At 38.9% G+C, this 11,323-nt stretch overlaps 1 long non-coding RNA gene across 2 annotated transcripts in view, besides 1 other annotated feature; it reads right to left on the bottom strand.

Moving 5' to 3' along the window:
* The window catches only part of LOC105379003 (uncharacterized), a 92,996-nt gene extending 87,296 nt beyond the window's left edge, over positions 1-5,700 (bottom strand). For both annotated transcript variants that reach the window (XR_948380.3, XR_001742683.2), the window contains exon 1: positions 5,421-5,700. This is a non-coding gene — a long non-coding RNA (uncharacterized LOC105379003). The remainder of the gene's footprint in view (positions 1-5,420) is intronic.
* Positions 5,710-5,959: an enhancer, noted in NCBI's record as "active region_22618". NCBI's record gives its function as "activates an Ori minimal core promoter by ATAC-STARR-seq in GM12878 lymphoblastoid cells {active_cell/tissue: GM12878}" and the evidence as "EXISTENCE:reporter gene assay evidence [ECO:0000049][PMID:35858748]".

Below are 11,323 nucleotides of genomic sequence, written 5' to 3' on the forward strand. Positions count from 1 at the left end.
GTCTAAAAAGAATAAGTGTAGTCTTTACTGGAAATTTAAAAATAGTAATTATGGTATCCCGTCAGTTGTTTCCCAGTCTGTGAAACATCCCTTGGAATCGCATGTTTTTCCATCAAACAGGGTAGGAATCTTGAGCCAATGTAGCAAATAGTTTCTGACAGGCTGACCCCTCATTTCTCACCCTGACAGGTGTGAGTGTTTGACACTATAACTTTGACCTGGCATGAGTAATCATAAACGATCCTACATGCTAACAGCAATATTCTACTTATTGCCCTCAGTCCTAGTTTGCAGAATGCTTTCTGCCTACCAACTTACTGAAAGAGATGCTGCTGGAAACCAAAGCCATGGCCTTGGAGATTCTCTCACCTCCCAGCTTGCACGGCCCCCTCCTTCTTGACTGCAGGAGACCCCGATGGGTGTGTCTGGCCTGGCATGCCACTAGCAGGTGTTTCTTGATTGTTCTTCTTTCCTGGGGTGGAGAGTCATGACCTGATTCTCATTCTTTTTATATTTTCTCACAAGGTAAGGGAGAAATTATGGGCCAGCCTATCTACTGGCTTTTGACCCATTTGCCAACTGTTCTTCAAGTCACAGTATAGAATCTACAAAGGGAAGTCAGGAATCAAAAAGATGTTGGTGGATTGCTGCAATTAAATAAAACCATGAGGGAATTATAAGAAATAAACATCAAGTCCAGGTTTATGTTTATTCTTTTCGTATCTTTTTTTCTTCCACCCCAAAGATATTGCAGGTTTATGTTTAGAAGATCAATTTCATTAAAATCAGCATATAGGAGGCCACTGTAAGAAGCCCTGAGAAAATTGGTAGCAAGGTCACTAAGAGTGAAGCTAGCAAAAATCAACTTTAAATGGATGAGGACAAAGAGCACACACATAAACCTACGGACTATTCTCAGTCATGACGATCATTGCCACAACCCTCAATAAAATGTGTGCAAACAGATAGCATATTAAAAGATTAATATTACACGACCAAAGGAATTTATTCCATGAATGTAAGGGTGTTTCAATATTTGTATGTTTATTAATATATTTCACATTAATGGATTCAAATATTATAGAAAGATTTCCATCAATTTTTTGAGAAAATTCAACATCTGTTCTTGATTTTTAAAAAAAGTTTTAATAGAATAGAATTTAACAGATATTACTGTGTTATGCAAAACCCAGTATCATGCCTATCAGGAAAAGAGTAGAAGCATTCCTATTAAAATCAGGAACAAGGAAAGAACACAGCGTCACTAGTGTAATTTATCATGGCCTAGTGGAGTTTTTCAGCACAATTAGAGAAGAGAAAGAAATGGATGGTTCAAAAGTTGGGATATAGCACATAAAGTTATAATTATTAGCAGATTTATTTGCCTCAAAAAATCCAAGAGACAATAAATTGAAATGTTGTTATAATCAGGGAATGTGGCAAGGTAACTAAATAAAGGTAGTATATGGAAATCAATAGCCTTCATATATGCAAATTATAATCAATAAGAACAAGAGGCCCCCAAGGGCAAATACAAAATACGTGAAATACTTAAGGATAAACTTAAGAAATGTACAAGATTTATAGGATGAAAACTTTAAATATTAATGAGGGTCACAAAAGGACACTTGAACAAATAATATACTAAACTGATAGAAAATTATATCATTATAAAGATATTAATTCTCCTTAAGGTAAACTAAATGTATAACATACTGCCAATAAAATGCAACTGCAGTTCTTTTAGAACTAGACAAGCTAATTCTAAAACTTATATGGCCCTGATTTCTTAACAGATAAGGCTTTGGCCTCCTAAAATTTATATGGAAAAAATAAACAATCCAGGAAAGCTAGGTAAGTTATGAAAAAAAATGAGGGAACTGTTTCTACTAGATATAAAAACATAATATTCAAAACAACGTGACACTGAATGTTAAGTAGATAAATAAACTAGTGGAAAAAAATTAGGAATAGATCCTCAAGCATTGAGGAATTTATTTTGTGATTTTTCAAAGCAGAGGGTGAGCCGATTATATGTTGGCATTTACCCCCATTCCCAACCTTCCATGCTCCCCTCTGCCACAAATATGCTGGCTGGAAGCCAGAGCGCCACATTTCTGGATTTTCTTGTCAGCTGCCTATGGTAAGGTTCTGCAACTGAGGGCCACTCACTGGTTGGGATTGAGGAACAAGAGGTGAGAAGGAGCCATTTTTCTGCTTCTGGTGCCTCTTCTGGCCGCAGGAGGAACATCAGCAGCAGGTAACTTGGGCTCCACCAGCATTAGTAAGAATGGTGGTAGTTTGAGCAGCATCCTTAGAATGTAAGTTCTGGGGTTCCTGCTCAATGTCTACAGAAATGTTCCAAAAAAGCAATGGCCCTGCAGCCAGCAGCTCAGCAGTGAAAATAAACTGTTGGTTTCCAGCCCAGGAGCACTAGCAGCGTCATGATCACAGACTAATATCTCTTTCCCCTGTTGCTTCTTTAGCCCTTCCAATTCCTTGTCACAAATTGTTTGCATTAATTTATTCTCTGCTGGAAATATCTAGAGTACTTCCACATTTCCTAACAGGACACTAGCTGATCAAAGGAGAACATAGCAATTATTCAACAAATGATATTGGTGAAACTAGGTACAGTAACTCCTCACTTAACATTGTCTATAGCAGGGGTCCCCAACCCCTGCTATCAGTTTGTGGCCTGTTAGGAACCAGGCCGCACAGCCCGAGATGAGTGGCAGGTGAGCATTATGGCCTAAGCTCCACCTCCTGTCAGATCAGCTGCAGCATTAGATTCTCACAGGAGCATGAACCCTATTGTGAACTGCACATGTGAGGGATCTAGGTTGCACACTCCTTATGAGAATCTAATGCCTGATAATCTGAGGTGGAACAGTTTCATCTTTAAACCATCCCCTGCCACCCTGGCCCATGGAAAAATTGTCTTTCATGAAACTGGTCCCTGGTGCCAAGAAAATTTGGGGACTGCTTGTCTATAGGTAACTGGAAACTGGACACATAATGAAACTAATTTTACCATAGGCTAATTAGGAGAAACAAGAACTAAGTTCCTATGGCATATTTCTGGCACAAAAAAAAATCGCCAAACTTCTAAATAAATATCCCCAACAGTTCTAATCTTAAACATTGAAATAAGTATGAGCTATACAAACATTTGAGAAAGATTAATAAAAATCAGTAAATGACTAGTCAATTTGTGGTGAGTCAGTGAGTAATGGCAGGTGTAGTGGTGGTGGGTTAAATGAAGGAATAAATGTTTGCAAAGTGATAATTGTGAGGAGCCTCTCTTGCCCCTATGCAGTTCCAAAACAGTCATAAATGTGGTAGGTTTGCTGAGTGCTTTTGTACCTCATCGTTTATTGTTGTGCATTTGCATGATTATTGAATACTTTATGAATTTTTACTTTACAATTATTTGTATTCATTCATTCCTTTTCCAGCCGGCTTATTTCAGTTCAGGGTCATGGTGGCCAGAGTCTATCTTGGCATCTCAGGGCATAAGAGGTGAACCAACTTTGGGTAGGATGTCATCCCATCACAGGGCACACTCCCACGCACTCACTCTTGCTCACACTGGGACAATTTAGACACGCCAATAAACCTAAGGTGCATATCTTTGGGATGTGGGTAGAAACTAAAGTACCTGGAGAAAGCCCATGCAGATGTGGGGAGAAAGTGCAAACTCCACATAGAGAGTGGCTCTGGCTGGAAAGCAATTTATTTTTCTCATCAATGTTGTGAAGAAATGGTTAACTAAACAATGTTATTCAAGGATCTGCAGTCAACTTCTGGAACTAAAAAAAAGATTTGATTCCTTACCTCACAGCTTATACCAAAATATATTTTAGGTGAATCAAATATTTGAATATAGAAAAAAATACACCACAAAAATATAGAAGAAAACAGACCAGGCACAGCAGTTCATGCCTGTAATCCCAGGACTTTGGGAGGCCAAGAAGGAGGATCACTTGAGCCCGAGAGTTTGAAGCCACTCTGGGCAACACAGTGAGACCTGTCTCCACAAAAATTAAAAAATTAGCTGAGCGTGGTGGTATGCAACTGTAGTCCTAGCTTCTCAGGAGGCTGATGTGGGAGGATTGCTTCAGTCTCAGCTACTCAGGAGGCTGAAGTGGGAGGATTGCAGTGAGCCATGATCATGCCACTGCACTGCAGTCTGGGTGACAAAGCAAACCTTGTTCCCCCACCAAAACACACACACACACACACACACACACACACACGTATGTGTATATATATGAACACATAGCAGATTGTTAACCATATGCTCAGAGAGCTGAAGGTCTTTCTTTCTTTTTTTTTTTGAGATGGAGTTTTGCTCTTGTTGCCCAGGCTGGAGTGCAATGACACAATCTTGGCTCACTGCAACCTCTGCGTCCCAGGATCAAGCGATTCTCCTGCCTCTGTCTCCCCAGTAGCTGGGATTACAGGCATGCACCATCACATCTGGCTAATATTGTATTTTCAGTAGAGATGGGGTTTCGCCATGTTGGTCAGGCTGGGCTTGAACTCCTGACCTCAGGTGATCTGCCCACCTCGGCCTCCCAAAATGCTGGGATTACAGGTGTGAGCCACCGCACCTGGCCCTAAAGTTCTTTCTAAGATGCTCCAAATAGTAGAAACATTTGAAAATTTAATTTCATTAGAAAGTTGGCATGAAAAAAAAAATCCCACCACAGAGGAAGTTAACAGGCAAACAGGGAAAATATTTGCAATTCATATCCTCAGACAAACATCAAAACCCCAACAGAAAAATCAACAAAGGTAATGGACAGACAGTTTACAGAAAGGAAATATGAATGGTTTTCTTTTTCTAAAAAAAAAAAAATTAGAATTCATGAATGAAGCCATCTGGTCCTGAGCTTTTCTTTCTTGGGAAATTTTAAATTAATGATTCAATCTCCTTACTCATTATTGATCTGTTCAGATTTTCTATTTATTCATGATTCAGTCTTGGTAGGTTGTATGTATCTAGAAATTTATCTGCTTCTTCCAGGTTATCCAATTTGTTGTGATATCATTTTCCATACTACTCTCTCCTTTTAATTTCTGTGACAGCGCAAGGTCTCCTCTTTTGTTTCTGATTTCATTAACTTGAGTTGTCTCCCTCTTTTTCTTAATCTAGCTAAAGATTAGTCAATTTTGTTTATCTTGTAAGGTGTTGGATGTCTATTACCTTGATTGTGGTGATGAGATCATGGATGTTTGCATATGTTCTAACTCATCAAATTGTACACATTAAATATATGCAGTTTTTGTATACCAATTATACCTCAGTAAAGCTGTAAAAAAACTCACAATAAGGAAATTGCACATTAAAATCACAATAGATACCATTTCCACCTATCATATTGGCAAAGATAAAAACAAGTTTGATAACTCACTGTGGCCGTTTTAAAATATATCCACAAATTCTTGGATACTCCTTTCCTTTAAGAGGTAGAGCTTACTTTGCCTCCCTGTGAATATGGTTGGACTCAGCGACTCACTTCTGATGAATAAAACATAGCAGACACGGTGATTTGTGGCTTCTGAGGCTGTCATGAAAGGCGCAGCTATATCCTACTTGCTCTCTCTGTTGGATCACTCTCTCTGGGAAAGGCCAGTTGCTGTCAGGAGGACACTCCAGAAGGCCTGCAGAGAAGTCCACATTTTCAAGGAACTGAGGCTTTCTGCCAATAGTCATGTGAGTGAGACGTTTTGGAAGTGGATCCTCCCACCCTGGATGACTGCAGCATTGTCCAACCTCATAAGAGTCAGCGAGGCAGAACCACCCAACTAAGTTCCTTTAAATTCCTGACTCACAGAAACTGAGAGATGAGATAATATATGTTATTTTAAGCTATTTAGCATTGTGGTAATTTTTTTTTCTCTGTGGCCCAGGCTGGAGTACAGTGATCTCAGCTCACTGTCACCTCCACCTCCTGGGTTCAAGCAATCCTCCCCCTTCAGCCTCCCAAGTAGCTGGGACCACAGCACAAGCCACTACATCCAGCTGATTTTTTGTGTTTTTGTAGAGATGGGGGTTTCACCGTGTTGCCCAGGCTGGTCTCAAACTCCTGGGCTCAAGCGATCCGCCCACCTTGGCCTCCCAAAGTGCAGGGATTATAGGCAGAGCCAGTGTGCACAGCCTACTGTTACTTTTTACACAGCAATAGATAACTAATGAACTCTTTCTGTGGTGAGGTGTGTGGGAATAGGCACCCTCATAAATTGCTAGTAAAAATGTAAATCAGATCAACGCTATGGAGACATATTAGACAATATCTATTACAGTAAAAATGTAATTCCACATTTAGGAATTATTTAATTAATATTTCACCCCTGTGCAAGTGTATCATCCAAAAATATACTTGCACAGGTGTGAAATATTAATTAAACAATGTTATTTATTGTAGCAGTCTTTGTAATGACCAAGGACTGAAAACAATCTAAATGTGTATCATTACTAGGACTAGTTAAATAAAGATGGTACATCTATATGATGAAATTCTACGCAGCTATTACAGAGAATAATGTAATTCTAGAAACAAAAAACAAAACCATGTGCACAGTATACTACCATTATATTATGCAAAAGAAAAGAATGTGTGTAGATTATCTTTGGATAGATACACAAGAGACTGATGGTGGAAAAGATGGGATGCAGGAGTGGGAGATAACTTTTCACTGTATGTCTTTTTTTGATACTTTTTGAAACACAATTATTTTATTATGTGTGTATATTAACTATTCCAAAAATGAAAGTATTAGAAAACTAAAATAGATGAAAGGTCATTCATGTTAAGAGAGTGTTTATAATGTGTTGCTGAAATAAAAGCCTGGAAAGCATTCTCCTACAATCATGATAGCTAGGAGAATATCTTCACGCATGGAATATAACTTAAAGTTATGACCTAAGCCATTGTATTTCCTTCTGTCTAGAGGAAGAATAGATTTATAGGAGGTGGATGGTCTGCTTAGAGTCTAGATAAAGAGAAATCTAATAGGAAGGATTTGTTGGTGTTTACACAGACCATGAGAGAAAGGCAGTATTTAGCAGACGTAAGTACTTTAATATTAGGGCAGTATACTTTATGTGATTCAAGAACATTCTGTTTGTTTTTGTTTTTTGTTTAGGTTCTGTGCCCAGTAAACTTTTAATTACTAATTGTTTCCCTAGGTTTTTACAAGCTATCTGCTTAATATTAGACACAAGTATCAGTCACTGCAAAAATATAGATCTCATTAGAAATTTTTAAAAGGCATTTTCGTTTATACATCAATCTTTTTGGAGTTGGATTTGTGTGAATCAGGCCAAAGCACCAGAAGAGCAATGACTGCTCTAATATGATGGAGTTTCTAGACACATAAAACTGAGGAGGAGAATCCACTTAGATTCCATCTCCCTCTGAGGCCTAGTAGAGTAGCCAGCCAATCTCTCTAGGAGAGTTTACTCTCAACTTCTAAAATGCAATAAGCATAATAGAGCAAAAAGAAGAGCAGGCTGAATAGCAGTTCATCTGAAAAATCCCCATGTGGTTTGATGTGATCCAGCTAAGAAGGCTGATGAAAGCTCAGGACTCATCATTACATAGGGACCACATAATTGAAAATCATCACCTCCCCGGGTTCTTTTTCCATTTGGAAAATCTTTGACCTTTATAATTTGAGAGGGGTGTGACCTAAGATCCTGACAAATTTCCAGATTTTCTGGCACCATTATAGGATATCATTGGCACTATGAAATACATGCATAATAAAAGTCAAATTAAGATTTGGATATGGGGAAGTCAGCTAGGCTCACTCACTAGCTGGATGATTTAAATGACTTAACTGTTACACTAACCTGGTAGCATCAGTTCCATTTTGTTTTGTTTGTTTGTTCCATAACCATAAATGACTACATTGGATAGGCCTTTAGAGTCACTCACAAATAACTGAAACTGCAAATGTTAACTTGGTGATTGTCAAAAGCCAACTCTACTGACCCTAGCTCTAGGCACCTCACTTAAAGGAATCATTAACTAACTTGAGAGGTTGAGCAGGTGAATATTTGTGTTTACCTATACATTATCCATCCATTCACTTACTCATTTGTTTAACTTATATTTATTGAACATCTCTTTGCCAAGAGCTATAGTACATTTTTGGTAATCTGCTACTAGAAACAGTAGAGGGAACTTCAGATGCACCGCCAAAAAGAAGATTTAAAGGGGACATGACAGCTGTTTTCGATCATGTGAAGAGGGAGAAGGCTTATCTGTGTTTTTCCAGAGGGCACAATTAGGGAAAGTGAGTAGTGATAAGAGGAGTCAGACTTGGGCATAAATTACAGAAGAATCTTTGCTTTTGTGAGCTGACCAACAATGGAATCCACTGCATTGCAAAACCGTCTTCTGGCAGGTCAAGAAAACTGCCAAAGCACAGATAAGGAAGATGGGGCCCAGAAAGATTTAGTGACCTGGACAAGGGCACATGGCCAGTGAATGGAGGGCCTGGCTTGGAACCCAGAGTGCAAGGCAGTCTGGGTCATTCAACCCTTGGCCAGTAATGATTTTAACGTTTGCTTTTTCAACCACAAAGCTTCATGATGGATTGTAATTTTGATGAAGTACATGCTCCAAGGCGAATGTGTGGGAGTGAGTCTCTGAGCTAGCAAGTAAATACCCACATCTCAAACAGACTTTGAAGTTCCATGCGTGTGGAATACACAACAATTCTTGTGATGTATAATAATTTCCTTTTGCTTCATTATGAAAAGCAGTTAATGCTTATGGTGATGAACAAAAAGTAAAGAAAACTAAGAAAGTGAAGGTTCCTATCAGAAATATGAAGGTTTGCATTAATTAGAGTGGCATGTTAAATTTGATGATGATAAGCATCTGTGATGTGCAATTGTTTCATTGAATGTTCCATAGTTTTGGCTGTCTGCCACAGGAACATTTGAAATGTTCAAGGAAATGATCAAGAAGAACAACTATTCTGTACTCATTCCATTGTTTTCCATAAGTTCCCTTGTTCTTTTGCTCTAAATAATTTGAATACTAGTTGTGGGGAAAAAGAAAAGATCCCTAATCAATTCTTACGAAGTGTGGGGAGGTATTGCACACAGGCGTCTCATGATATGTGGCTTCTCTGCAGGTCCACACAGCCTGTGAAAGTCCCTGGCTCCTCTGACTTGTCAGATGTTCCGGGTTGGTGTGACTCCAAATACAGTCTCAAGGACAGACACCAAGTCCGAGATGTTTCTGCCTTTCCCTTTAAGAAATAGGCCTATTCTTGTCAGCTCTAGGCCTGAAGGCATTGTTTCAGAGTCAATCACTTTAAACATTTCCCCCAGGACAGCAGAGGCAATTCAAGCTTAAATAGTGAAGCCATAGCAGGACTTTTCTGGAACTTCCCAGCCCTTCATGTTTCCCTAACATAGTATTCTCAGAGAGCAGGCTGCAGATCACCACCAGCAGCAGCAGCATTAGGGAACTTGTTAGAAATGCAAATTTTCTTTTTTTTTTTTAATTTTTTCTTTTCTTTTTATTTTATTATTATTATACTTTAAGTTTTAGGGTACATGTGCACAACATGCAGGTTTGTTACATATGTATACATGTGCCATGTTGGTGTGCTGCACCCATTAACTCATCATTTAGCATTAGGTATATCTCCTAATGCTATCCCTCCCCCCTTACCCCACCCCACAACAGTCCCCGGTGTGTGATGTTCCCCTTCCTGTGTCCATGTGTTCTCATTGTTCAATTCCCACCTATGAGTGAGAACATGCGGTGTTTGGTTTTTTTGTTCTTGTGATAGTTTGCTGAGAATGATGGTTTCCAGCTTCATCCATGTCCCTACAAAGGACATGAACTCATGCTTTTTATGGCTGCATAGTATTCCATGGTGTATATGTGCCACATTTTCTTAATCCAGTCTATCATTGTTGGACATTTGGGTTGGTTCCAAGTCTTTGCTATTGTGAATAGTGCCGCAATAAACATACGTGTGCATGTGTCTTTATAGCAGCATGATTTATAATCCTTTGGGTATATACCCAGTAATGGGATGGCTGGGTCAAATGGTATTTCTAGTTCTAGATCGCTGAGGAATCGCCACACCGACTTCCACAATGGTTGAACTAGTTTACAGTCCCACCAACAGTGTAAAAGTGTTTCTATTTCTCCACATCCTCTCCAGCACCTGTTGTTTCCTGACTTTTTAATGATCACCATTCTAACTGGTGTGAGATGGTATCTCATTGTGGTTTTGATTTGCATTTCTCTGATGGTCAGTGATGGTGAGCATTTTTTCATGTGTTTTTTGGCTGCATAAATGTCTTCTTTTGAGAAGTGTCTGTTCATATCCTTCGCCCACTTTTTGATGGGGTTGTTTGTTTTTTTTCTTGTAAATTTGTTTGAGTTCATTGTAGATTCTGAATATTAGCCCTTTGTCAGATGAGTAGGTTGCAAAAATTTTCTCATATTCTGTAGGTTGCCTGTTTACTCTGATGGTGGTTTCTTTTGCTGTGCAGAAGCTCTCTACTTTAATTAGATCCCATTTGTCAATTTTGGCTTTTGTTGCCATTGCTTTTGGTGTTTTAGACATGAAGTCCTTGCCCATGCCTATGTCCTGACTGGTATTGCCTATATTTTCTTCTAGGATTTCTATGGTTTTAGGTCTAACTTTTAAGTCTTTAATCCATCTTGAATTAATTTTTGTATAAGGTATAAGGAAGGGATCCAGTTTCAGCTTTCTACATATGGCTAGCCAGTTTTCCCAGCACCATTTATTAAATAGGGAATCCTTTCCCCATTTCTTGTTTTTGTCAGGTTTGTCAAAGATCAGATAGTTGTAGATATGTGGCATTATTTCTGAGAGCTCTGTTCTGTTCCATTGGTCTATATCTCTGTTTTGGTACCAGTACCATGCTGTTTTGGTGACTGTAGCCTTGTAGTATAGTTTGAAGTCAGGTAGCGTGATGCCTCCAGCTTTGTTCTTTTGGCTTAGGATTGACTTGGCAATGTGGGCTCTTTTTTTGGTTCCATATGAACTTTAAAGTAGTTTTTTCCAATTCTATGAAGAAAGTCATTGGTAGTTTGATGGGGATGGCATTGAATCTATCAATTACCTTGGGCAGTATGGCCATTTTCATGATATTGATTCTTCCTACCCATGAGCATGGAATGTTCTTCCATTTGTTTGTGTCCTCTTTTATTTCATTGAGCAGTGGTTTGTAGTTCTCCTTGAAGAGGTCCTTCACATCCCTTGTAAGTTGGATTCCTAGGTATTTTATTCTCTTTGAAGCAATTGTGAA

The sequence above is a fragment of the Homo sapiens genome, chromosome 5, assembly GCF_000001405.40.
Source record: "Homo sapiens chromosome 5, GRCh38.p14 Primary Assembly".
Taxonomy (NCBI): Eukaryota; Metazoa; Chordata; class Mammalia; order Primates; family Hominidae; genus Homo; species Homo sapiens.